Source organism: Homo sapiens, chromosome X, assembly GCF_000001405.40.
Source record: "Homo sapiens chromosome X, GRCh38.p14 Primary Assembly".
NCBI lineage: Eukaryota > Metazoa > Chordata > Mammalia > Primates > Hominidae > Homo > Homo sapiens.
In genome coordinates, this window is record NC_000023.11 from 40,099,580 (window position 1) to 40,125,482 (window position 25,903).

At 53.7% G+C, this 25,903-nt stretch overlaps 1 protein-coding gene and 1 long non-coding RNA gene across 17 annotated transcripts in view, besides 13 other annotated features; both read right to left on the reverse strand.

The window, feature by feature from the left end:
- The window catches only part of BCOR (BCL6 corepressor), a 126,032-nt gene that overhangs the window by 48,334 nt on the left and 51,795 nt on the right, over window positions 1-25,903 (reverse strand). The window lies entirely within an intron of this gene.
- Window positions 769-1,289: an enhancer, noted in NCBI's record as "H3K4me1 hESC enhancer chrX:39959601-39960121 (GRCh37/hg19 assembly coordinates)". NCBI's record gives its function as "activates a minimal SCP1, AML or CMV promoter by ChIP-STARR-seq in primed H9 embryonic stem cells {active_cell/tissue: H9 hESC(primed)}" and the evidence as "EXISTENCE:reporter gene assay evidence [ECO:0000049][PMID:30033119]".
- LOC107985687 (translation initiation factor IF-2-like) lies at window positions 2,157-6,907 on the reverse strand. The gene has a single exon (NR_171574.1). It is a non-coding gene; the product is annotated as a translation initiation factor IF-2-like (long non-coding RNA).
- Window positions 2,960-3,550: an enhancer, noted in NCBI's record as "H3K4me1 hESC enhancer chrX:39961792-39962382 (GRCh37/hg19 assembly coordinates)". NCBI's record gives its function as "activates a minimal SCP1, AML or CMV promoter by ChIP-STARR-seq in primed H9 embryonic stem cells {active_cell/tissue: H9 hESC(primed)}" and the evidence as "EXISTENCE:reporter gene assay evidence [ECO:0000049][PMID:30033119]".
- Window positions 5,362-5,541: a silencer, noted in NCBI's record as "silent region_20748". NCBI's record gives its function as "represses an Ori minimal core promoter by ATAC-STARR-seq in GM12878 lymphoblastoid cells {active_cell/tissue: GM12878}" and the evidence as "EXISTENCE:reporter gene assay evidence [ECO:0000049][PMID:35858748]".
- Window positions 5,632-5,881: a silencer, noted in NCBI's record as "silent region_20749". NCBI's record gives its function as "represses an Ori minimal core promoter by ATAC-STARR-seq in GM12878 lymphoblastoid cells {active_cell/tissue: GM12878}" and the evidence as "EXISTENCE:reporter gene assay evidence [ECO:0000049][PMID:35858748]".
- Window positions 6,312-6,361: an enhancer, noted in NCBI's record as "active region_29535". NCBI's record gives its function as "activates an Ori minimal core promoter by ATAC-STARR-seq in GM12878 lymphoblastoid cells {active_cell/tissue: GM12878}" and the evidence as "EXISTENCE:reporter gene assay evidence [ECO:0000049][PMID:35858748]".
- Window positions 6,462-6,571: a silencer, noted in NCBI's record as "silent region_20750". NCBI's record gives its function as "represses an Ori minimal core promoter by ATAC-STARR-seq in GM12878 lymphoblastoid cells {active_cell/tissue: GM12878}" and the evidence as "EXISTENCE:reporter gene assay evidence [ECO:0000049][PMID:35858748]".
- Window positions 6,812-6,981: a silencer, noted in NCBI's record as "silent region_20751". NCBI's record gives its function as "represses an Ori minimal core promoter by ATAC-STARR-seq in GM12878 lymphoblastoid cells {active_cell/tissue: GM12878}" and the evidence as "EXISTENCE:reporter gene assay evidence [ECO:0000049][PMID:35858748]".
- Window positions 6,992-7,051: a silencer, noted in NCBI's record as "silent region_20752". NCBI's record gives its function as "represses an Ori minimal core promoter by ATAC-STARR-seq in GM12878 lymphoblastoid cells {active_cell/tissue: GM12878}" and the evidence as "EXISTENCE:reporter gene assay evidence [ECO:0000049][PMID:35858748]".
- Window positions 7,547-8,303: an enhancer, noted in NCBI's record as "H3K4me1 hESC enhancer chrX:39966379-39967135 (GRCh37/hg19 assembly coordinates)". NCBI's record gives its function as "activates a minimal SCP1, AML or CMV promoter by ChIP-STARR-seq in naive H9 embryonic stem cells {active_cell/tissue: H9 hESC(naive)}" and the evidence as "EXISTENCE:reporter gene assay evidence [ECO:0000049][PMID:30033119]".
- Window positions 7,777-7,921: an enhancer, noted in NCBI's record as "145 bp enhancer 114 fragment used in the MPRA reporter construct; PK_construct_4984". NCBI's record gives its function as "activates an SV40 promoter by MPRA in K562 cells {active_cell/tissue: K562}" and the evidence as "EXISTENCE:reporter gene assay evidence [ECO:0000049][PMID:23512712]".
- Window positions 7,842-7,857: a transcriptional cis regulatory region, noted in NCBI's record as "ZFP161 motif; enhancer activity is reduced when this motif is scrambled". NCBI's record gives its function as "necessary for full MPRA enhancer 114 activity {active_cell/tissue: K562}" and the evidence as "EXISTENCE:site-directed mutagenesis evidence [ECO:0005528][PMID:23512712]".
- Window positions 9,610-9,659: a silencer, noted in NCBI's record as "silent region_20753". NCBI's record gives its function as "represses an Ori minimal core promoter by ATAC-STARR-seq in GM12878 lymphoblastoid cells {active_cell/tissue: GM12878}" and the evidence as "EXISTENCE:reporter gene assay evidence [ECO:0000049][PMID:35858748]".
- Window positions 12,198-12,477: a silencer, noted in NCBI's record as "fragment chrX:39971030-39971309 (GRCh37/hg19 assembly coordinates)". NCBI's record gives its function as "represses an EF-1alpha promoter that drives an FKBP-Casp9 reporter gene in an ReSE screen in HepG2 liver carcinoma cells {active_cell/tissue: HepG2}" and the evidence as "EXISTENCE:reporter gene assay evidence [ECO:0000049][PMID:32094911]".

Genomic DNA, 25,903 nt, shown 5'->3' on the forward strand with positions numbered 1-25,903 from the left:
ATAATCAAAAGCATCTCAAGTTGATTACTAAGTCAAGGTCAAGGCCAAAATCAGCTCTAGCTAGCAGATATTTTCCCTTTTAAAAATTAGACTCACTACTGACTGTGGGACTGGTATTAGGTGCGATTTTATTCATTCTGTTTTAGTTCTCAGCACATAGTTATAAAAACAGCCCTTCTCAAAGCAGAAGTGAAACATCTCTACCGTTTGAAACCCGAAACTTCGGCAGAATTAAATCTTCATGCTCCAGAGCTGCTTATAACAACTGATGCAAAAGACAGGCGAGCAAGTGCCCCCGCGAGCAGTGCCCAGCCAGGCTGGGCCGCGAACGCTTCCAGGACCAGCGCCTGCAGAATGGAATGCACGCTTTTTTCTTCCTGGTCTTTCTGGGGGTGGATATCTCTGCAAGCCAACCCACACATTTTTTTAATCTCCGGTAACAAGCAGAAAGACACCTGGACTATTATGCTGTAAAACTATTTTTTATAAAGACATTTTAGGACCAGACATTAAAAGTTATTAGATTGAACGCATGCGAGTTACAGACACAGCTGGAGAAAAGGCCTCTGGTTGTGTGTTGTGGCAACATTTCTTTTTGAAGCGACTCCTTTTATTCAAAACAAGTCAAAAATAACCGGGAAGGCTGAAGCTGGGTATTTGTGGGGAAACTCTGAACGTGGTTCCAGGCGAGGAGGCCGCTCTGCTGCTGCAGGCTGGACGGGAGAACTGGCCTGGGCCAGTGTGGAGCCGTGCCAGGCTCTTCCGGCTCGGTTAGGCCGAACCGCAGAGGCCCTGGCCCGGCGCCCAGCCACCTTCTATCCCCTCCCCTCGTCTCCCCAACTCTGCCCCCAGGCACAGGCTTTTCTCGGAGTTCGAAGTCGCATGTAAACGTCCAGAACTTTTAGAAAATCCAGGAACCGAGCTCGGGGCCTGCAGCCTCTCAGAGTCTTACGGCCTCCCGGGGCTGCTGACAAAGAGGCCTGTTTGTCTAACTTTAAAAGTCCTAGAATTCGGGAGGCTGAGCCAGGAGAATCGCTTGAACCCGGGAGGCGGAGGTTGCGGTGAGCCGAGATCGCGCCGTTGCACTCCAGCCTGGGCAACAAGAGCGAAACTCCGTCTCAAAAAAAAAAAAAGAAAAGAAAAAGAAAAAAAAAAGTCCTAGAGTTAAAATGAACAGGGGTGGTGGGGGTGCTGTAAATGCGAAGGGGCCGAGGGGAGGGCTGACTGGGGGAGAAATTTGATGCTGGAGACAAACAGGCCAGTAAATTCGCCTTTGACGTAATTTGCAACATCCTCCCCCACCTTTTCTAGGGATCTTGCCTCCACGGTAGGCTGGTAGGATTAAAGGGTTTCTCCTCCATCTCCTAGGGATACATTTTTCAACTCCGTGGGATTTCAAAAATATCTTATTAAGGGAGTCCTAAGAGGCATGAGTGGTGGGGGGGATTCGTGACTCACTGGGAATTAAAATGTGGGATTTTCCCGAGGCGCTATAAGGCAGAGGGGGGGAGGGGAGATTACACCTATTGGCCCGGTTAGTTCCAATTGTTCTGGGGAAAACAAGCAGAAAGCTGTCGAAGGGCAATCCCATCTTGTGTCCTCACTTAAGAAGGGGCTCAGGGAGCTGGGGATGCCGCGGGGCCTGCAATGGGTGCCGGCGGTTTGGCCCTTCTCCTGCCCCCTCCTCTCCTGCCCTCCCACAAGCCCTTCGGGAGCTGACCCGGGGGTCAGGCTGCTATACCCAGCACTCAGCAAGGGGAGGATTTCAATGAAAACAGAGGAGGAGGAGAGAGTGAGCAAAGGAGTGCATGGGAGGGGAGGCCGTGCAGCCCACGGAGAAATAAAGAAATAGGTGCCGAAATGAGAGGTGCTGCGGATGGAGCAGCGGGGGCTGCCCCTCCGCCACCAATCTCCCTTCCCATGGAAGTGTCTCCTGATTATAACAAACCACTCGACCTCAGGCTAACCAGGCCCTGCAACTGGGCAATCGAGCTGGCCCTTCTAGGAGCAGGCCTTGAGCCTGGCTGCCCTTCTCAAGGCAGGTTGACTCTGCAAGACCCGCTAGGGCCTCTCCCACACACCTCCAGCTCCACCCTGGCCTAGGGGAAAGGCCAGGCATCCTGTGTTTGGGGGGACCCTGGCCTTCTAACCTTGTGTGCAAGATTTATTTATAACGTATACTAGGATCCACATCATAAAGCTTATAACGTATGTGTAGGCTTCCGATGGTCCTCCTCGGAGGCTGTTCTCAGGGCGATGACACTTGGTACTGGAACAGGTGGGACTCGGATGAGTACAGATAATGTATTTTTACATAATGTGAGGTAGCCTTTCTTTAAAAACACACCCACACTTATAGTCTTCTGGTCACTTTGTACAAGAACTCTGGGCTTATCCAATGGCACTTTAAAAAACATCCGCTGCCCCATCCTCCAAGCACAAGGCACAGCTGGCTTCCCCTCTGAAACTCAAACGAGGTAACAAACAGGAGGCGCATCCTCCTCCCAGGATTTCACTCATCTGGAAACATCTAAAGGTAGCTGCCTCCCAGGGCAGAAGACTGCTGGACTTAAGGGTCGCCAGGCTGAACATGACTGTTCTTTCTTCTTCCTAGCCTTTGGAGGGTTATTGGGTGTTTGGGGAAGGAAGGCCCTAAGGGCAGCCTCTCCGTGGTTCCTAGCAACCATCTTGGAATTTCTGGTCTGGGCTCGATTTGGGTCAGGCCCTGAGCTCCCCGAACACAGGCACGTGTGGGTGAACTGGCATCTACACTACGGGGGCCCGCAGGGTGGTTGGGTGTCGACCAAATGGGCATAATACAGGAGGCTTCTGGGAGGCTGGCCGCCTCTTGCGCTCGGCAAGGGCTTAAGAGCCCTCGACGCCGCCGCGCTGGGCCGGGTGCTCCTGCAGATAAACCCGGACGCCACGTCCCGCCTCGGCTGCTTATTTAGCAAGGCGCCTTCTGCGCATATTTTACCCGGCTGGGGGCAGTGAGTGGGAACCGCCGGGAGAGGGGGCGGGGAACCACCAACTACTCGCCTTCGGACCCAGTGTGCCGGCCTCCGGCCCCAGCCATTTTGTATCCAGCTTCCCTCCTCCACTCCCACCGGGTCCCTGCGAAGACGCACCACCCCGAACCCCTTCGCGGTACCACTCCCGAACTGGAGGGGTAGAGAAGGCTCTGCCAGCCCCTCGCCTGCAGCAGGAAGGTGGGTACGGACCAGCAGAAGGGAAAGCGGTGCTGATCTGTCTCTAAATACCTCTGCCCTCCCGCCCCCAACAAAGTCGGTCACAGAGGTGAGTGGCGCGGGATGGTTGCCTCGAGAAGGTCGCAGCCAGGAGCAAAGCTTTGGGGCTCACAACGGACTGGGCATTCCAAACGGTGTAATCTTCGGCACATTTCACCCGCTCCCATTCCACCTTCCGAACCACTCTGCTCTCGGTGCTCATCCTCCTCTCCATACCTGCGTTCCCAGCGCGTTAGCAGCCGCGCAGCCCCCGGCCCTGAGTGCGGGGGGTGGGGTGGGGGGGCTCAGGGTGGTTTGTGTGGTGCGGCCTGACAGAACCTTCTGTGTGCGGCGGAGGGAGGAGGCTAATGCATAATGCACAGCGCCTGGAAGCCCGGCCATTAGCGGCCTGTCGGTGACACAGACAAACGACTGAGAGGGAGGAGATCCAGCTCGCTCTGGAGTTTAAATAGACCAGCGTGGAGGGGAAACGCCATGATTTAAAAGTGTGTGTTTGCAGACACTCGCATATATTTTAATGATTTCCAGCAGGCTATGTGTCCTAGCCTTGCATCCCCCCCTCCCCAAAAGGAGGATGTGTCTAGAGGAGGGAGGATGAAGGCAGAGTGAGAGGCCTCAACCCAGACCCACCAGCAGCTTTTGAGAGATGAAGGAGGGGAGAAGTTCAGAAAGCGAGGCCTGGGGAAGCCACACGACCCAAGGCCAAGCCCAGATTTTGTTCTTAAAATAATAATTTAAAAAAAGAGCCACCCAGCCTTCCACCCTGGACTACACCCTGTGTTGTACCAGAAAGGCCTGGGGGAAAGAATAAATTCTGCCACCCTTGCTTCCCCCGGGAGCCCACATTTTTGAATCTTCCTTTTCCACTGACACTCCAGAGACCTCCTTCCTCCCGGTTTAACACACTAGTGTTTTTTAGCAATTAAGGCGAGAAGGGGGTGGGGATAAAGATAAGCCAATTTTTTTTTCCGCCATGCAAGTGTGAGAGATAAGATAACGCTAAGCTGGGGCAAAGCGGCTGCTTACAACCTCCCCTTAGCGATTTTGATCGGTCACTTCTTATCTCGCAAAAATGCTCTTTTCGAAAACTGGATCAAAAAAGAAAAAGAGAAAAAGAAAAGAAAGAAAGATTTTCATTTGGAAGTGACATTTAAAACCCACCTCCCCTCCACTGACAACCCACCCCCCATTGGCGGGGCTCCCCAGGAAAAGTCGCACCTCGACTGCAGGATTTCAGGCTTTCTCGCGGGGGGCAGGATTACTAGTGCAATTAGGCTGAATAAAACCAGGGATGCGTGATGAGGATTTATCCTGTATCCAACCCAAGCTCGCGGCTGGGTTTTCCTTCTCTTAGTTACTGGTCGATGTTTGTGTTTCGCCATCGCACTCAGTGCCTTCAAACTAAACAGGTAGTTATACTTGGGAGGGTCATATAACTATGTCAACATGAAGTGGTTGTTAATGCGAAATAAGAAGAAACTCTTCTGATATTTATAGGCCCCTATAAAGGGAGAGAAAGGAAATCACACTCCCTAGAACCCGAAAGCTCCCAGCCGAACCGGACCCTCGGGGAGTTTTAGAAATCCTTCTTTCCGCACAGGAATTTCGCGAAGGGGTTTCCGGAAGACTTTGTCGAGGAAGGTTTTGGTATCAGACTCCACGACCTCAGAGCGCCCTGCAAATTCCCCCCGGCCCAGTGGCTAGCCCCAGAATGCAAACCTCAAGGCGGGCGCCCCAGACCAAGCTGACCTAGCCTCTGCCCACCCCCAGCTCACAACCCCGAGGCTCCCACCCCCTGCCCCCGACCGGGTCGGCACCGTGGCGTCCGGCACATGCCAAGTCTACCGTCTCCAAGCCAGGCTGCAAGATCCAAAGGTTGGGGCCTGCCGCGGACGGATTGTCCCTGGGGAGCTGAAACCGCCCAGCGGGGAAACCCCTCCTCTCGCCCTTCCCCGAAAAGCTTGGCCGCGGTCTAAGCTCCGAGCAAGCGGGTATCCGCTGACAGCCGGGCCTCACGTAAGGCCCACACGCGTCCCATTAGTCAGCCCGAGTTCCCCTCGGGCGAGCCGCCTGGCGCGGCCCCAAGGCCGGGCTCAGGCGGGGAGAGGGTGCGGGGCCGCAGCGAGCTGCGGGCGGAGGTGCGGGCTCCGCGGAGCCCGGCCAGGCTCGGTTCCGCGTTCCTGGGCCCGCGGGTAAGCTGAGTCGGCGGGGCAGGCCGCTCCCTGGCTGGCGCCGGGGCGCCAAGCTGCGCTTCACGTGCCCGCCATATCAGCAGCAGCGGCGGCGGCGGCGAGGAGGGGGTGCTGGGAGGCGCGCGGCCGTTCCCGCGGGGTCTCCGGACCCCGCCTCCCCGCCCCTCCCCGTGGGGGCTGGGCCGAGACCACCCTGCGGCCCCCATCCCAGCGCAAGCCGAAAGCGGCGCTGCCAGACGCAGAGAGGCTCCTGGGGCGCCGTTCCGAGAGCCGCGCGGCGGCAGCAGCCAGGGGAGGGTGCTCCTCGCGGCCGCCCCGCCGCCGCCGCCGCAGTCACGGGGACCGGAAGCCCTCGCGCCGCCCCGAGCGGCCTCCGCTGGCCCCAGGGCTGTTCCAGACGAGGGCTGGCCGCGCGTCACCCCTGATCCCTCCTCGCCCCAGGCGACCACCCGGGCCCTGCGGTATCCCGGTGTAAGCCGAGAGGACCCTTCCTGCGGTCCGATGAGATGTCCCTGTCCCTCTGCTACCACCATAAGCACGCCCCCCCGCACCGCTCGCAGCTCCGCAGCTGGGACCGGAGGGGCGCGGAGCCGCCACTCCGGCCGGGCAGGAACACCTGCTCCCAGGCCCTGCAGCTGGGCGCGTGCTGCTGTGAGAGGCTGCCTACTGTTGTGTGCAGAGATCGCGGAGGAGAAAATAGGGCTCCGAAGCTCAGGGCCAGGAGCAGCCAAGCCTCGGCCACCCCCATCTCCCACCCACTGCAGGCGACAGAGCGCGAAGCCAGAGGGCCTGCTGGGGGCCCGGGTCTCCTTTCGAAGGTCGAAGGGCCGCCACCCCTGGGATCCGGCTTCTGGCCTGAAGAGGTCGTTCATAAAACAGATGGGGCAAAACCTGTTTTGGGAGCCTTCCCAGTGTCCGCCCCCGCTCTCCAAACCAGACACACTCATCTCCCCCTCAGCCCTACTCTAGCCTCCGGCGGGGGACGGGAGTAGGTCATGGCGGCACCGGTACTCCACCCGCCCCCCTCCACGTAGGGACGTAGGGTCGGCTGCGGGGCTCGGACTTTGCCACTCCACCTAGGGAAGGGCCAATGGACGCTCCCCGTCTCCTCCGTGTCCGGAGGAGATCCGGCGGCGGAGCTGACCTGCAAGGCTTGCCCTGCCTCACCCACCCCCCACCTCCGTCCCACCCTCCCCGACTCTCCTGGCCCAGGGCCCGGCCCGGGAAGGCGTTGTTTTGCCAGCGGGAGCCGAGCGAGTGCACAGAGAAAAGCCTCCCTACTCTAATGAGAGTGCACACAGCGCTGCAGCGAGGAGGATGATTACCCGGCGGGCGGGGGGCGCGGGCTCGGGCCGCGGGCGGCGTGTGCGGCGGCCCCGCGGGCCCGGAGTCCCCGCCTGTCTGGCTGCTAATCGCACGCTTTCTGCTGTTACGGAGGCAGGCGGGAGCCGGCGGCCGAGCCCAGCGCCGACGACTCGGCGGGTGACACGGAAACATGGCGCAGCGCCCCTCCCCCGCCCGCGCTCCCGCCTCCCGCCCTCCCCGCGCTCCCGCCTCCCGCCTCGCACTTCCTCCCGCCCGCGCGGCTTTTGCAGTTTTAATGCTCTGCTTTCGGCCTGGCACCATTACGCTAGCAGCCGCTTCTCCGCGGCCCCGCGCGTCTCTTTCCCCTTTGTTTTCGGGGTCTATAGAAAACGTTTGCTTTTGTCCCGAGCTCTCGTTAAACCAAACTTGTGGTGGCAACGGAAGGCGGTGCAGGCGGGGAGGGGTCCGGGGATTTTGGCAGTAGCCGGCCAGAGCGTGGTGGAAACTTCTCTCGCTGGGTTCTCCGCTCCCTCCCACTCCCCCTCCCCAACACAGAGCCGCCGGCCTCCCGACGCTTCTCCCTTCGCCCCCGAGAGGCCCCAGTGCTCCAGGAAGGTCTGGGCCACAGAGACTGTGACCAGGGGTGAAGAACTCAGAGTGCGTGTCTGTGAGCCCCGAGGTTTTGGCACTCGATGACCTTGCTCCCTGCAGCCCCGACTTACCTCTTTCCCTTTGGTCATTCGGGGCTTTGTATCAGTCGGTGAAGAAGGGGAGGGAAGAGAAAGTGTTTCTTTCGTGCGTGTGGTTTTTATTTTAAGGATTTGTTGGAATCTGTCACCCCCAACTGCACAGCCCCCTCCCGTATAGGATCTAGGGCGAAAGCGGGGAAACGTCGGATTTAGGGGGAAAGGGTCGGGTCAGAAACCTAGCCCTGGAGGCTGGATCGTACTCTCCTGGCGGGCTCAGCCACACTTGGTCGGCACGCGGGGCGGGGCGACCCAGCAGAGTGGGGGACGCAAGGGCCAGGTCCCTCGGTCCAGGAGACGCCAAACGTTCCAACCTTGGAGCGAGAGAGCAGGAACCCCCGCCCCCACCCAAGCGCGCGCGCTCCCTAGCTCGACGCGCAAGCCGTGGCTCTCCGCGCCAGAGCTGCTCAGGCGGCAATTTTTTAAGCCTGCAATTAAGCGAGGCGTCGCCGTGTCCTCTGCTAGTGTCGGTCCTGTCAGTCGCACATGGCCTTGGTGCTCCGGTCCGAGGCCCCGCGATTAGTCACAGGCTCGCTTCGCTCCTTCCCTAATCCGCCTCTGCAGGCAGCCTGGGGACGCGGCCGACTTGGCGGCGCTGGCAGGGAGCCACTGCCCGCGGGGCGGGCCTCCTGACCAGTGCCAGCCCCGCTGCGCCCGAGCCGGCGCGGGCCCTGGGGTGCGGGTTTGGCGCCCCTCCCCTCTCACAGCCCCCTGGCTGGGGTGGCGGCGCCCCTCCTCCTCCCGCCCCTCTCCCGGGCCTGCGAGATCTATTTGTGTGGTGTCATTTGCATAAAAATAGGACAAGTGTTTCTGTGCGTTCATACGCGGGAGGCGAAATCCTTATTGATGTGTCTGTGTGGAGCCTTCGATTGTCGGAGCGGTTTGATTTAGGGTGTTTGTGTTGCCTTCTACAAGAAAGGAGAGAAAGTCCTTCTCAACTCCTTCGGCGGCCTGGGCCCCCAGAAGCATGTCCCTCTGCGCGGCCGGAATGGTCCACCACTTGGGCCCCAAGCGCGCCGGATCCACAGCGAGCAGGTTGAGGGCCAGGCGGGAGGCCCATTATGACTCATAAAATCGGGCGGCCTAATCGCCAGCTGCCAACCCATTTACATGTGGAGCTTCCCAATGCTCCCTTCGCCCGGGCCCGGCTTCCTGAGGGTTTGCCCCGACACAGCTAGAGCCGCCAAGTGGGAGCTAATCTAGTGGCCTCTCCTTCCCGTCGGCAGCGTGGCTTCCCTTCCCCGGCGACCCCCGCTCTCTTGGCCTACTGCGCTGCTCGCCAGCAACTCCTCAGCTTGGACAAATAGCTGGGAGGGCGCCGGCCGCGCGGAGCCAGTAAATCAATCATTAACTCCCAAGCGAGGCCTGGACCAGGGGAGGGAGCGGCGGCCAGAGCCGAGTCCGCGAGGCGAGCGCAAAGCCTCCACCGGGGTTAGGAGCCACCCACGCGCCAACGAACCGGGTGCGTGAAGGCGGGTCCCGCCATGGCCTCCCGGGCCCCTCCAGAAGCCTCCGCCCGCCGGGCCTTTCAAGCCCGCACCTTGCCTGGCCAGGCAGGTCGCGTTACAGCGCTGCCCCTGGGAGAGCTTGAACATTAACGAGTCGCCTCGGGCCTCAGCGGCCTGCTCTCCACAGGAGAGCGTCCCGCGCTTGGGCAAGCTCCTCGGATCCGGCCGGGCTCCTCCTGGCTCAGGCTTGCTAAACCAAACTGATCGCACCCTGTATCGACCAATCTCCCTGCGGCACCCTCTTCCCTCAGCCCACGGTGGAGCCGGCACGCAGGGGGTTAAAAGCCCCGGTTCGCTCTGGCTCCTCGGCTGCGAGGAGAAAACGCTGATCAAAGTGCTTAAGGGGAAGGTAACACATGCACATTCGGTCCCGGGTCGAAGGAGGCCGACTGGAGACGGCTCCCGAGCCACCCGCCTCGACCCGCTTCCCACACTCCCGGGAACGCGGCGGCGGCGGCGGCCCTGGCCCGCACGATTCGCTCGGCGGAGCGCTGCGCTGCTGGGCTGGGAGGGCGGCGGGGAGGAGGAGAGACGAGGGGGCGGGAGGCGAACCCGGGCTGCGCGCCAAGAGGCCCGGAGCCGCAGATTAGTCACCGCTCGGCTCTGCGCTCCCGGGTGCGCCCGGGAACCGGGAGGGCAGGCGTCGGCCCCGCTCAGCCGGGCTCCCCGGTCCTCGGCGCGGGTGCCCCCACCCCCACCCCCGCGCGCTCCTGGCGCGGCTGGCTCGACTCTCGGGGACCCGCGCAGCCGAGATCCACTTGTCAGGTCAAGGGCAGGACAGAAACTCTGCAAGCGGAGTCTTGCTTGCGAACAGGAAATTTCTCCTTGATGAGGTGCTGCCCCTCCCCCACGCCGGGCTTCAAAACAAAACTCCAGAGCGGGCGGCCAGGTACCCAGCCTCGCTCGCCATGGCCGGCGACCTCCGCTCCTCGGCCCCGGCCCCGGGCGGCGGAGCCAAGCCAACAGAGCCGGCGGACGGACTCGGCGCCGGCCCCGCGGAGGGCGCCAGGCTGCCACCCTCCGGGGCCCGGACGGGGTCGGCGGGGGTGCGGAGCCCCGGAGCCCCCGCGCCTCCCCAGGTTCTACAGCCACCGAGCGGTTTTGCGGAGCTGCCCGAGGCCGCCGGGTCAGCGGCTCCCCGGAGGGCGTGGGGGGCGGGGAGGCCGCGCGGCGCCGCCGACTCGGCGAATCCCGCTGCGGGAGCCCGGGAGGGCTGCGAGCTCGGCCTGGCAAAGTTCCTGTGGAAACTCCATGTTTTGAAACTCCTGCGGCGTCGCAGAAGGAGGGGGAGAGGGGAGCGCGGGAAGCGCGCGGGGGCGGTCTGCACCCGCCTCTCCCCGCCGGGGAGTGGGTTCCGCGGCCCCCCGGGCCTCATGGGAAAGCTGGAGGGCGGGGACGGCCGGGTCCCCGGGCCCGTTCTTTTGTGTGTTCTCTCTCTCTTCCACACTCTAAGAGAAATTTATAAACCCGTTTCATTTAATGAATTCACCCGGGAGAGGAAGGCTGCCTTTTTAGGGACCATGATGTTCAGGGTAATTTCGTATTTGACACATGTAAATACTTAGTACTCTCAGGTAAGGTCAAATTATTTATCATCTTAATTTATATTTCAATAGGCCTACAATTTAGAGGCGAGAAATGCCTCCTTATGAATCATTATGGTCTATTAGGGGAAGTAATGTATAAACAGCACTATTTGGGAGGGAATCACTTATGTTGACATTTAAATAGCTCTTCAATAGTTAAAAAAAAGACATTTGAGTGTCTTTGATTAAATATACAATTTACAAGACCATCAGCATAGCCATCAGGAATATAAATTCTTCTTGGAATTTTTATTTATTTCCAATTTTTGAAACCTTCCAGGGCATGCGTGTCATTGAATCCCTATGGGGGAAAAAAATCTTAACATTTCAGGCAAAATATTCTCCTCTCCCCTAGCTTCCTGTCTTATCAGGAACTCAGGGAACTTCTGGAACTCTGAGCACACTTCACCAGCAGGGACCACAGTGGGAAGTTTGTAGATCCTGTACCTCTAAGACAATCAACCATTTTCTTTTCTTTTCTTTTTTTTCTTTTTTCCTTTTTCTTTTTTTTTTTTTTTTTTTTTTTTTTTTTTTTTTTTTTTTTTTTTTTTTTTTTTTTTTTTGAGACGGAGTCTCACTCTTGTCGCCCAGGCTGGAGTGCAATGGCATGATCTTGGCTCACTGCAACCTCCGCCTCCCGGGTTCAAGTGATTCTCCTGCCTCAGCCTCCCAAGTAGCTGGAATTACAGGCTCCCGCCACTACACCCAGCTAATGTTTTTGTATTTCTAGTAGAGACGGGGTTTCACCATGTTGGTCAGGCTGGTCTCAAACTCCTGACCTCAGGTGATCCACCAGCCACGGCCTCCCAAAGTGCTGGGATTACAGGCGTGAGCCACCACGCCCGGCCGAGAATCAACCACTTTCTAACAATATTGCAGCCAATTTGTGAAACAGCACAGCTTCCCTGCTGGAGTTGAACCTTCCAGAAGGCCAGTGTCTGTCCATCCATCCTGATGTTCCCGCAGCACCCAACATAGGATCTCACACTGTTTTAAGTCATCGTTTCATACCTGCTAAAATATCACCTTCTTAGAGGCTTTTCCTTGCTGCCTCCACCCTCACCCCCCATACCCTTTCTTGAAAGGCCCCTTGTTATACTTCTTTGCTTGAAGCATCACCCATCTTTATAATGCCCCTTCTTAACCTCGCATCTCCTTTGCTGGTTCCCTATTTATCTGTTTCCCTGTACACCTGGACTTCTTGAAAGAGGTGTCTCCATCCATGTGGAATTTCTGCAGGCTTACCTCATGTTCACTCTAAAAATCAGCTAGTCATGAAGTTATTTTAAGACACTGGAATAAGTGCAGCTTTGTTTATAACAGCATAGGATTATAAACAACCTAAAGAGTCAGCAGTGACATTGATGGCACATGCATACAATGGAATATTCTGTAGCTGTTAAAATAATAAAGAAGATCTGCTCTGTGTATTGATATGGAAAGACCCCCAAGGTCTACAGTTAAGGAAAAAAAAATAAGGTACAGAGCAGTGTGTACCATCTGCTACAGTTTGTGTAAAAACAAAATAGGGGGGAATATAGACACATATTTGTGTGTGCATTAAAGATTTCCAACACTGCAGGGGAGTGCCCCCTTCCCCCCCAGTTTCTCTGTAGATATGCATGTCCTCTGGTCTACTTTCAGAAATGGGAACACACTGCACAATCTGTTCTGTACCTCACCTATGAAACTTATCAATATATCTTACTTTTCTAGCAACACATGGAGACAGGCCTTGTCAATTTCCAGGCTGGTGGAATTTCACTGTATAGACACATGGTCATTTATCTCACTCCTCAACCCCTCCATCCTCCCTGGCCATTCTGCAGAAAGTGCTCAAGATCACTGGTTACTTCCTTGTTGCCAGGAGTGGGGGCCGGGGTGGGGGGGCGGCGTTGTTTTTCAGTCCTTGCCTTCCTTGGCCTCCCAGAAGCATTTACCACACCATGACCACTGCTCCCTTGAGCTGCTTGCTCACAGGGTTTTCATCCTAGCTGAGAACCGCTTTCAATTTCTTTGTGGGCTTTTCTATGCTCTACCAGTTGCCTTGGGCCTGGATCCTCCCCTTCCTCCCCACCAGTCTCATCCAGGTTTATGGCTTTAAATACCACCTACTTATTGATGACTTACATTTTTTTTTTCTAGTTCCAAATCCCCATATCAAACTTCAAACTTGGTATCTCAACTTTGCATCTACGCTCAGCTTAATAACAATAGCAAGCATTTACATCACGCCTGTTAGGTTGAAGCTCTCTTCAAAGTGCTTTCTATAAATTAACTATTAATCCTTACAACTGCCCTATAAGGTAGGCAGAGTTATTATGTACATTTTTTCCAGATGAGGAAACTATCAGAGAAGTTACTGAACATTCCTAGAAAATGGTGGTGCTAGGATTCAAATCCAGGCAGTCCTATCTTCAGAGTCCATGGTCCTAATCACTTTGCCACACTGCCTCGTTGGCATGTGTCTCGAACTCCTGACCTCAAGTAATCCACCCGCCTCTGCCTCCTAAAGTGCTGGGATTACAAGTGTAGCACCGCGCCCAGCCACAACTGAATTCTAAAAAGAGGAATTAATTTACAAATATTTGGGGGCATTTAATAAATGCCAGGCCTTGTAGCGGGTGCTAGGGAAACAGTGGTGAGCAGGACAAATGTCTCTTAGATAGAGAAGAGCTTTTCCTTTAGAACCTGCTCTTTGCTTTAACTCCCTTCCCCATCACAGAAAATGGCTCACCCACTCAGGTGCTTAAAGCAGAATCCTAGGGGGCCATTTTTGACCCATTTTCATTCATCTCCCCCTCACCTTCCTCCAGTCCACTGGCAAAGCTAACCCATTCTACTTCCAAATAGTCTATCTAGTAAGCCTACTTCTTCCCATTTTCCTACATCCACCTGAGGCCAGGCCACCATCTTGGGCCTGGATTATTATACAGGATGATTATTCTAGCAATCTCTGTGCTGCCACTTTTGCTATCCTCCAGTCCACCCGCAACGTGGCAGCTAGAAAGATCTTATTTATTTATTTATTTATTTATTTATTTATTTATTTTGAGACAGGATCAAGACCTCATCTCCACTTAAAAAAAAAGAGTAGTCAAGTGTGGTGGTGCACGCCTGTAGTCCCAGCTACTCAGGAGGCTGAGGTGGGAGGATTGCTTAACCCTGGAAGGTCCAGACTGCAGTGAGCCATGATTGCACCATTGCACTCCAGCCTGGGTGACAGAGGGAGACCATGTCTCAAAAAAAAAAAAAAAGTGTTGAATGTCACTACCCCACTAGTTCCCACTGCACTTAGAACAAAATCTAAATGCCTTAACAAGGCCACTTCATTGCTTGCCAGTGTTTAGCTCACCCTCTGAAGGCCAACCACACAGGCCTGCTATCAGCTCCTGAATAGGCTCTGCGGGTTGGTCCCTGGGAGGTCACCTCCCTCAGCAAGACCGTATCGTCCATAATGGTACAGTGTATCATCACCAGGTGCTAAGCTTGCATCAGTGTGCAGCGATGTACATATATCCATAATGTTCTCAGAATTTTGTTTCTGGCTGTATGTGCCCAGTGCCTAGCATGGTGCTCACCACATATTGATGAAAAAAAAATCTGATAAACAATAAATGAAGTATTGCATGCCTAATACTTTTTTTTTCTTTCTTTCTTTCTTTTTTTTTTGAGATAGAGTCTCACTCTGTTACCCAGGCTGGAATGCAGCAGCACGATCTCAGCTCACTGCAATCTCTGCCACCCGGGTTCAAGTGATTCTGCTGCCTTGGTCTCCTGAGTAGCTGGGATTACAGGTGTGTGCCACCAAGCCTGGCTACTTTTTGTGTTTTTAGTAGAGACAGGGTTTCACCATGTTGGCCAGGCTGGTCTCGAACTCCTGACCTCAGGTGATCTGCCCACCTCAGCCTCCCAAAGTGCGTGAGCCACTGTAGCCAGCCACTTAATACATTTTTGCTAACTGAATCGGTATTCTATATCCTGGCTAGAGAAGAAACCAGGTTCAAGAGAACAAGACAGTTGTGGAGAGGGTGCTATAGGAAAGGGGGTACCTGGACTGGTGGGGAGTGGCTCTGTAGTTCTGGTGAGGATTGGGGCAGAAGAAATTAGGAAAGTGAAGCATAAGGCTGGGGGAGACACTGTCTTTTGGGGAGGCCCGTGGGAGTATGGGACACCTGTGTACAGGTCTCTGTCGGCTGGAGGAGCCAAGTGACCTGGTGTGCATGCTGGTGGGGAGGCCTTGGGAGTCCTGTCCTTAACTAAGTCCTGCAGAATATCATCCCCAGGAGATGAGAAAGCCAAAAGGAAGACAAAACCCAAACCAGAGCCTTCTTAGAGTACTTTGCCTATTGCCAATCATTTGGTCCTTAACTTAGTGGCAGAAGATTGAGACTGTCTTTCTCCTTGAGACCCTAAGAAACCAGAAGTGTAGGTTCTTCTCACAGCTGACCCTGGGCAATTGGAGTTCTCTGAATTCCATGCCATTTGACCTCTAACAGTAACTGTGTCCCTGCGCTGTTTTTGATAGCAAAGCAAGTCTTTTAACAATGAATAATTCCTATGTGATAAAAATAGCTACTGTTTATTAAGGACCTTTGTTCATTTCAGTTACTTTATCAGGTACTTTTCCAAGTTATCTCACTCACACCCCAAAATAACCCTATGGCTTAGGTATTACCATTCACTTTTTTTTTTTTTTTTTTTTTGAGTTGGAGTCTCACTGTGTCGCCCAGGCTGGAGTGCAGTGGTGAGATCTCGGCTCACTGCACGCTCCACCTCCCGGGTTCATGCCATTCTCCTGCCTCAGCCTCTCATGTAGCTGGGACTACAGTCACCTGCCACCACGCCCGACTAATTTTTTGTATTTTTAGTAGAGACGGGGTTTCATTGTGTTAGCCAGGATGGTCTCAATCTCTTGACCTTGTGATCTGCCCACCTCGGCCTCCCAAAGTGCTGGGATTACAGGCGTGAGCCACTGCGCCAAAACACATGGCTAATCTAGGAGAGTGTGGCTACGGGGATTCTACCTGACTCCAAACCTAGGCTCTTTCCCATAGGGTATATTGTTTGTCTGTCATGCATATGCACTGTTTCCCCAAACCTTTAACTATTTCTGGGACCAGATCCTACATAGCTTCTGCAATTGCATCCTTCTGGGCCCATCCTGGCAACTCGCCAACTGCAGTAAGTATCATAAAAGGAGTTTCTTTCTTTCTGGGATCAGCAGGCCTCAGCTCATCTGTTGTGTTCACCATGGGAACCTAAGAATTGATCATCTGAATGAAGAGTTGCCTTCCTTCCAGGTAAGCCTTGAAAAAGTGTGGGGCCGGCCTGGGCTCGGTGGCTCACGCCTGTAATCCCAGCACTTTGGGAGGTGGAAGTAGGCGGATCGCTTGAGGTCAGGAGTTCAAGACCAGCCTAGCCAACATGGCGTAAACCTCGCCTCTACTAAAAATAAAAAAATTAGCTGGGTGTGGTGGTGCACGCCTGTGATCCCAGCTATTCAGGAGGCTGAAGCACAAGAATCGCTTGAACCCAGGAGGCGGAAACTCTAGTGAGCCGAGATCGCACCACTGCACTCCAGCCTGGGTGACAGAGTGTGACTGTGTCTCAAAAAAAAAAAAAAAAGTGTGGGGCCAAGATGTTCAAGGGAAGGACTTCCTCCCCAGAACAAATAGATTCTGTTTGAAAAATACCTGTACCTCCACCAATACTAAATTATGGCTCAATGTCTGGCGAGATTATAAGCTACCTTGCCCTTTCATATTCCTGGGCAACACTTTTCCCCGTTTTGAGCTTCCATAAAGACTACTCTTGTCCTTACCATGGGAAAAGGTAGTTCACGAAGGGATAACATGGGAAGAACTCATCACACAGCTCTTCTGAAGCAGAAGAGCTCTTGGGATTTGAGGAAAAGAGAGTCACTAATGTTCTTCAGCTCCTAGAAGAACAATAGCTAGAATTTATTAAGGGCTTTCTATCTGCCAGGCACAGTTCTAAACATTTTATACACATTAATAATCTCATGTCATATAGAAAACTGTCCTATATGGCTGGGCGCGGTGGCTCACGCCTGTAATCCCAGTGCTTTGGGAGGCCGAGGCGGGTGGATCACGAGGTCAGGAGATCGAGACCATCCTGGCTAACACCGTGAAACCCCGTCTCTACTAAAAATACAAAAAATTAGCCATGTGTGGTGGTGGGCGCCTGTAGTCCCAGCTACTCGGGAGGCTGAGGCAGCAGAATGGTGTGAAACCAGGAGGCAGAGCTTGCAGTGAGCTGAGATAGCGCCACTGCACTCCAGCCTGGGCAACGGTGCAAGACTCTGTCTCAAAAAAAAAAAACTGTCCTATAATAAAGGTACTATTATTATTCCCATTTCAGATGGGGAAACTGAGGCTTAGAGGATAATTAATTTGCCTGCTTGCCTGGAAGCTCACTGCCCATTCCCAAAGCCCAGACTTATTCATGCCGTCACAGCCCCTGCCATCACGGTGCAACACTAGCAACTAAATTTCGGACTTTCCAGGCACCTGTGGTCAGCTTCATTACTCTGCCAATTGCACAAGTTCATGCTAATTGGGTGCTTTATTTGGATCTGAAGGCAGTGGCCTTACTGCATCCTGGCATGCAAATGATGTCCCCTGAGGACACGATGGGCAATGAATTTGTCCTGCAGGTCCCTGTGAGAGGCCTTTTCTCTTCTGTAGCTTCCTAAGCAGAAGCTATGGATGATCCACAGACAGAAGGTGGTCATCTCTAACCTGTCCTGTGACAAAGCATGCTGGTCAGCCAGTGGATGCCCCCATCGGTTCCATGCCAGTGGCTGCACCGGGACCCCTGCTTGCAGGCACAGGGAACCCGGAGGAGAGAAGATCAGTTTCCAAGATAATTTAGGTTCAGTCTTTCTTCAAACCAGCCATTGTCCTCTGCTCTAGATCTGACACCGATGATTAATGCGCCTCGTATTTGAGTATTTCTTCTTTTCGGCTTCTTCCTTGCTTTGGGTTTTATTTTCCAGCTGCTGCCAGAGTTTCTCCTCAGAAGAGAGTAAATACAGACTGGAGCATTGCCCTTGGTGTTGCCCTGAAAGCGTCCCAGGTGTCAGATCGCACTGGGCCATTCCTGGAGTAGGTGATGTTACTGTTTAGAGTTCAGTGCTAACCCACCACCTCCACCAATCGAGACCTAAGCCGTTAATTATTCTGAAAATACCAAAAATAAAGATTGCAGGGAAGGCAATTAATAGGATCATACGGTCTATTCCTCATTTGTAATTACATATTATTATTTTTCTCCCTACTTTGTTCCAATAATGATTTAAGGCTGCTTCCAAAGATACACAAAACCCAGCAAAGATAAATAGAAGAAGTGGAATATGAATTATAATGTCATGCCTGCTCACAACATCTCTGCCCCATTCCACATAATAGAAGTGAATTCATAACGCCTTTCAAAAATGAGGTAATTCAGCTATTTTGGTGGCAACACTAGGCTCTTTGTAAAGTGAAAGGGTGGTACACGATCATGGAAAAACCATGGAGGGGACACTCGATCCCCTTTCTAATGCTTGCTTTCTTGGTGTGTGACCTTGGGCAAGTCGCTCACCCTCTCTGGACTTCAGCTTCTGAAACTCTCAAATGTCTCTGCCAATCCCTGAGGCTTCCTCCTCTTTCTGACGTCCAAGGGCACCATCAAGAAGGCAGAGGCCAGTACTACTGCCCTCTGGCATGAGGCTTCCTAGAACTACTATTCGAGAGATAGTTTCCCAGGAAGTATACTATGCTCGCACTCTTTCTCTCTCTCTCTCTCTCTCTCCACCCCCCCCACCCCTTTTCCTCCCTCCCTATCTGTCTTCTCTCTAACACACCACAGGCACAGAGAAGTCTTTCTGGATGACTGAGATAATAGAACTGAAATTGTCTCCTCCCCCAAGGCAAGGACCCCCCCTTTCAGGAAAGTGACTTTAAGGGTAGCACTGAGGGGATCTTTTTGGGAGGCGGGGAGTCACAACCCTTCTGACCTTTCTGTCCTCCCCTCAGGTGTGAGCTTTCACTTTCTTTCCTCTTCTTGCAGTTCAAGACATTCTTTTATTTATTTTATTTATTTTTTTCTGAGACAGAGTTTTGCTCTTATCCCCCAGGCTGTTGTGCAGTGGCGCGATCTCAGCTCACTGCAACCTCCGCCTCCCAGGTTCAAGTGACTCTCCTGCCTCAGCCTCCTGAGTAGCTGGGATTACAGGCGCCCACCGCCGCACCTGGCTAATTTTTTTTTGTATTTTTAGTAGAGATGGGGTTTTGCCATGTTATCCAGGCTGGTCTCGAACTCCTGACCTCAGGTGATCCACCCGTCTCGGCCTCCCAAAGTGCTGGAATTATAGGTGTGAGCCACTGTGCCCAGCCCAAGACATTCTTACAACCTGGCCGACTCTAGATCCAGTCTTATCTTCCCTTCACCCCCTCTTAACCGCATCTTCCACTTTTGTATCCAGGCAGCATCTAACACAATGCTTAGCATGTCATTTGCTTAAAACACCAATGCTGTCCTCTGCCCCACACAAAGTCTCCACTGACCCCCTAGTTCCTCTACTGAGTATTCCACAGGCTACAGGGGCCTCCTGAGACTGGGCCCTGATCCCTTGCCTCAGGTGGGAGGCTGCTTGGGAGACTCTGTTTTTGTTGTTGTTGAGACGGAGGCTCGCTCTGTTGCCCAGGCTAGAGTGCAGTAGTGCGATCTTGGCTCACTGCAATCTCTGCCTCCTGGGTTGAAGCCATTCTCCTGCCTCAGCCTCCCGAGTAGCTGGGATTACAGGCATGCGCCACCACGCCCAGCTAATTTTTGTATTTTTAGTAGAGACAGGGTTTTGCCATGTTGGCCAGGCTGGTCTCAAACTCCTCAGCTCAGGTGATCTGCCCACCTTGGCCTCCCGAAGTGCTGGGATTACAGGCATGAGCCATCACCCTTGGCCTGAGACTCTGTTTTTTAAGATGCAAGCACACACAACACCTTGCAAATGAAAAGAAGCCAGCCTCAAAAGAATATGCACAATAGGATTCCATTTACATCTAGTTTGGGTGTTGTTTTTTTTTTTTTTTTTGGTGGTGGTGCCGGTGGGGGGTGGACAGGGTCTCACTCTGTCACCTAGGCTAAAGTGCAGTGGCGCTTTGCCTATGTCAAGTTTTAAAGTGGGCAAAGGTTTTAATCTGAGTTGTTATAAGTCAGGATGGGCCAGGTGCAGTGGCTTGCTCCTGTAATCCCAGCACTTTAGGAGGCAGAGGTGGGTGGATCGCTTGAGCCCAGGAGTTCAAGCCCTGCCTGGGCAACATGGTGAAACCCCATCTCTACACAAACTACAAAAATAAGCTGGGTGTGGTGGGCGTGCTGTAGTCTCAGCTACTCAGGAGGCTGAGGCCGCAGTGAGCTGTGATCACAGCACTGCACTCCAGCCTGGGTGACAGAGTGAGACTCTGTCTCATTAAAAAAAAGAAGAGGAGTCAAGATGGAGTTATCCTTGGAGATGGGGAGCACAGTGGGACTCCTTGGGGGCTGGGAACACTGCAGGTTGATCTGGAAGCTGGTTACATGGGTGTGTTAAAATTCATCAAGCTGTACTCTCAGGATTTGTACACTTTTCTGTCTGTGTGCTGTACTTCCAGAAAATAAAAAATAGAAACTAAAAAAAAATAATAAACCAGGGAGGAATCAGTTTTAAAACTGCAATCACACTCTGGGCAGATGACCTGATAGCAGGAGTGTGGGGTTGCTCTGAGCCAAGTTGGGGGGTTGGGGGAGGGCAGTGTGCTGCTTCTAGAGACAGCAAGGAAGCAAATTTTGTTAATAAAATCACGTGAATAGAAGCAAACTTACTGCTCCACAGTTGGGGCGGGGGGAGGAGCGGGGTGAGAGTGATGCGCCAGGCAGATGTGCCGTATTGGAGGCTTGGCAGCACTTCATCATGGCAGCCCTAGGCATGGCCCAGGCTTCCAGAGTGAAAGCGTGGAGTTGGCAGCATTAACGGGTTGCCTAGGCCCCCACCCTGTCTTCCTCACCTTCTCTGCAGGAACTTCCACTCCAGCCTAAATTGGGTTTTCCGCTATGCCCGGAGCAGACACAGCCTTTCCCCATTGTGGCCCATGCATGTTCCCTGCAGGAATGCCCCTTCTCTCTTCCTCCCCTTAAAACTGCTTCTTCTCCCTGGTCCCCACCAACCACCTGGTTATACATTCCAGAAACCTGAGAATCACCCTTGACCTCTCCAATCCCTTCACTCCCCAAACCGACCCTTCACCAAATCCGTTTTCTTTTCTCTGCGCAGTTTTAGGAGTCCATCCATTTCCCCCACATCCAGCGCCCTGCACTGCCTAGCACAGCTTCTCACCTACGCCATGGCAATGGCCTCCTCACTGGGCCCCCTCCTCTGGCTCCTACCCCTCTGCAGTCCATGGCCCCCACAGCAGCCACCAGCCACAACCACACCCGCAAATAACCACTGCTGCTGGGTGCCAGGTGCTGCTCCAGGCTCCCGACACACCCCAGGAAACAAAACAAATACCTGTCCTCGGGGTACTTGTATTCCAGAAGGAGAGAGATGGGCGATAAGCAATAAAGGTAAGAGGTCACAAAATTACCATGGATGGTGGACAGTGATGTATGCCATGGAAAGAAAAGTGGGAGCAGGAAAGAAGCACCTGGAAGGCAGGGTGTGGGGAGAAGGATTTGCAGGATTAAGGTGCTCAGGGGAGGTCTCTTGGGAAAGTGAGATGTGAGCAAAGACTCAACGGAGCCGGGGGAGCAAGCCAAGATTTCTGAGGTGAGAGTTTTGCAGGCAGAGGCAAAGCCAGTGCAAAGGCCCTGTGGTAGGAGACTGCCTGCTGTGTTTAAGGAACAACCAGGATTCTAGGGTGGCCAGATTGCAAAAGAGGAAGAATGATCAGACAGGTAAAAGGGGGGCGGGGGTTGATCCTGCAGCCAGAGCGAGGGTGCTCCAGTGGCTTTCACTATTGAGATAAAGATGGAAGCCCTCAGCCACCCTACTGGGCCCTGCCCCTCAGACCTTGGCTCTGGGCTTCTGTTTCCAGCCCCTTCCCACATCCAGCCGTTGCCACCGGGAGCTGGCTTAGATTTGCGATCCCTCCACCCGCTTCACTTAGTCATTCACAACTCTGTTCAAACAGCACTTCCTCCAAGATACCTTCCCCAAACAGTCATCCAGACCAGTTTAGTGGCTCAGCCTCACCCTCTCAAACCACCCTGCCCTTCCTCTACGCCACAGGCCTCCCCAGTGCACAGCCATCTAGCGTTAAGGCTATAATTACTTCATTTGGTTCATTGCAAATTTGGCAGTTGTTTACTCTGTGCCAAGCACTGTCCTGGGTGCCAGGGCACCGTGGAGAACAGGACTGACAAGGTCCTTATCCTATGGGAGATGGACCATAAACAGAGCAAATAAGGTAACTTTAGATGATGACATGTGCCACACAGAAGATGAAACAGAGCAGTGTGGCTGAGAGTAGTGGGAGGGAAGGCAGTGTTAGCCAGGATGGCTTGGGAGGCCTCTTTGAAAAATTGAGCTGAGAAGGAACCAGCTGCATGAGTATGGGGGAAAGAGAGTTTCAGGTAGCCGAGCAACAAGTGCACAGGCCCTGAAGGAGGACCAACCTTGGACCACCTGAGGAAGAGAAGGACAGCCCACATGGCTGGAGCAGAATGGGCTCTCTCTCTCCAGCTGGAAACGGTGCTGCACACGATTCCAGATCCTCTCTGGTCTCTTTGTCATCGCATCCATCCCTTGGGCTTGCTGACCGTTGAAGCTCATGGCATTCATTGAATGAAGGTGTAGCCATCTCATTTCTGCCCAAACTTCGATCCTGCTTTCTCCATGAACTCTTCCCAGCCACTTCCAGCCCTCCAAGAACAGTCTCTCCTCTATACAAAAACCTCAGAGCCCTCACTTGAGATCTGGGGCTGGTCTACTTGGGGCCGGACACCCCTGGAAATGCTGTGAAAATGGTGGCCCTCGTGCACATGTCCACTTTGCCAGGGGTACATGCATCAGAGTCCCAGAGGGCCTCAGACACCCAAAATGTTGACGAAACAGGACTCCCAAACCCCTCACTCTGCAGATGAGGAAACTGAGGGCTAGAGGGTAGAATGTGTACCCTGGGCCTACCTGACTTTCTGTCAGGCTGCCAGCTGCCAGGCCACAAGAACTACCCCATCTGGCTGTGGGAAGCCAGCCTGGGGTCCCTTGTTGGCACTTGGTGTCTCGGAGACTGTTCCCTTCTGCATGGTTGTCCTTGTTTTGATCTGTTAACGCACAGTAAGTACCCCATGGTAGGTCAATGTCTTCCCTTCTCAGATTATTCCTTGAGGGCACGATCAGGTGGTTGGTTTTCTTTAATGTTATTTTACTCCTTACTTTGTGTCTGCACAATTCCTGCTGAGGGACTCCACAAGTACTGGCTGCCCAGTCGGCTCCTTCTTCCCATGCCCCAAGGACCATGGAAGCCGCCACTCGGGGCGTTAACTGGCTTGTGGTCAGGCCTGTGACTGGATATTCTTAGCAGCCTTCGGTCACCCATCCCGAAAATTTAAACTCCCCGGTCACTGGGGCTTAGATCTCTCCCCGCCAAGGGAGAGATGTTTTCTATAATATTTTCAGGCAGTCAGCTCAGTACAGAGCCGAGTGTGCTTTTGCCATCAAAGGCTTAAGCTTTGGGGGCAAGGCCGAGCATCACACTGTCGCTACCCACCACTGCCCCGGGCCTGCCTGACGAGCGGGACTGTTTGGAACTGCTTAGCATGATGGAAGCTTTTGGCCACATCAGAGCCGTTATCACATCTGACCTCGTTCCTGGGCCCTGGGGCAGCTCGGAGGCCTGGGAGTCTCGGGCACTTACTGGCCTTCCTGTAGAGATGTCCACTGTGGGTCAAATGGCAACTTAAAAACAGGCATGGGGATTAGAGATCTCCATTTGGGCCATTTCCTTAACCTGCTAGGTGAATTCCCCTTCTAAATGCAACTGTTTCTCTCACTTTCAAGGAGATACCATATTCGGCTTGCCATCAAGCTCTGTGTGCAGTGGCAGGGAGTGAGAACAAGGATTGAGAAGGGGTCTTAGGGACCCTCCAACAGAGCAATATGGAGGGGAGGGTGGTGTATAGTCAGTAGGGGTACAGCAGTCACTTAAGCACACTTTTTTTTTTTGAGACAGTTTCACTCTTGTCACCCAGACTGGAGTGCAATGGTGCGGCCTCGGCTCACTGCAACCTCCGCCTCCCGGGTTCAAGCGATTCTCCTGCCTCAGCCTCCCGAGTAGCTGGGATTACAGGCATGCATCACCATGCCCGGCTAAGTTTTTTGTATTTTTAGTAGAGACGGGGTTTCACCATATTGTCCAGGCTGATATGGAACTCCTGACCTTGTGATCCGCCCGCCTCGGCCTCCCAAAGTGCTGGGATTACAGGTGTGAGCCACCGCGCCCGGCCTTCTTTTTTTCTTCCACACTTTCTGATTTCTCTTGGGGTGGCTACATCTGCAGCTGTGTTTTTCCTCCATTTATCTGGCTCTGGAAGTGCAAGAGCACAGACTGGGAGGAGACGTGGGCTAGGGGAAGAGAAGGTTTCCTGGTTGTGTGTGTGTGTGTGTGTGTGTGTGCACGCGCGCACGCATAAGAGGGTTCAGAGGAAGCAGAAATGTTTCCTCTCTCCCAGCACTACCATTCCACCAATCCATAGCAAGCAAAACTCAGGCTGAATGTTCAAACCCCATGCTTTTAAGGATGCCACATGGTGAGAAAGGGCCACCATGTAATGAATCCTGGGAAAAGGCCAGGGCCCTTGGGAGCGGGAGAATGAGCACCAGAGAAGCTGATAGGAGAAACCTTCAGAATCCCCACTGGCCTCTTTGCAACTTTGGGAATTGAGAGAACTCAGGGGAATATGGTGAACTACGGACTTAAGCGGACCATAAAGATTTTGAACTATTGGTCAGGCAGGGTGGCTCATGCCTATAATCCCAGTGCTTTGGGAGGCTGAAGCAGGAGGATCGCTTGAGGTCAAGAGTTCACAACCAGCCTGGGAAACATAGCAAGACCCCATCTCTATATACATTTTTTTTTTTCTTTGAGACAGCATCTCACTCTGTCACCCAGGCTGGAGTGCAGTGGCACGATCTTGGCTCACTACAACCTTCACCTCCTGGGCTCAAGCAATCCTCCCGCCTCAGCCTCCCAAGTAGCTGAGACTACAGGCATGCATCACCATGCCTGGCTAATTTTCTTATTTTTTGTAGAGACGGGATTTTGTCATGTTGTCTGAAACTCCTGGGCTCGAGTGATCCGCCCACATCGGCTTCCCAAAGTGCTGGGATTACACACGTGAGCCACGGCACCTAGCCCTTACAATTTTTTAAAAAGGTTTTAAAATCAATTCTATTCCACAAACACTTCTTTTTGAGAGGGGGGTCTCACTCTGTCACCCAGGCTGGAATTCAGTGGCGAGATCATGGCCCACTGCAGACTTGACCTCCCGGGCTCAACCAATCCTCCCACCTCAGTCTCCCGAGTCGCTGGGACTACAGGCACACACCACCACCACCTGGCTAATTTTTTGGTATTTTTTGTATTTTCTCAAATTCCTGGGTTCAAGTGATCCACCTGCTTCAGCCTCCCAAAGTGCTAGGATTACAGGGCCACTGTGACTGGCCCACAAACCCTTCTGAAACACCCCTTACATATATGTACAGAGCTATGAAAATAAGTAAGACATACCCTTAAGGGAGGCCGCCCTGGGAAAGACATTCTAGGCATCTTGTGGGGAGTGTTGGGTCAGACAGAGGATGGAGGGGTGTGTGTGGCGTCGGGGGGGCGGGTTGGGGAGGAGGGCATAAAAGCACACGTGGCCAGCCTGCTTTGTCCTGTTCTGGAAGGCCATCCAGTCTGCTCAAGGGCAGCTGAACAAGTGGGAAGAGAGGTGGCAAAGGCAGATGAGGTGGTCCCTGCAGCCTGCTATGTGCCAGGAAGTGATGCATTGGGGCAGCAGCTCCAGCAGCTGCCTGGAGAAGGTGGTTGATTATGGGAGAAATTGACTGTGGAGTCTCACTCTGTCACCCAGGCTGGAGTGCAGTGGCGAGATCTCAGCTCAAGTCAACCTTTGTCTCCTGGATTCAAGTGATTCTCCCGCCTCAGCCTCCCTAGTAGCTGGGACTACAGGTGCACACCACCACGCCTGGCTAATTTTTGTATTTTTACTAGAGACGGGGTTTCACCATGTTGGCCAGGCTGGTCTTGAACTCTTGACCTCAAGTGATCCATCTGC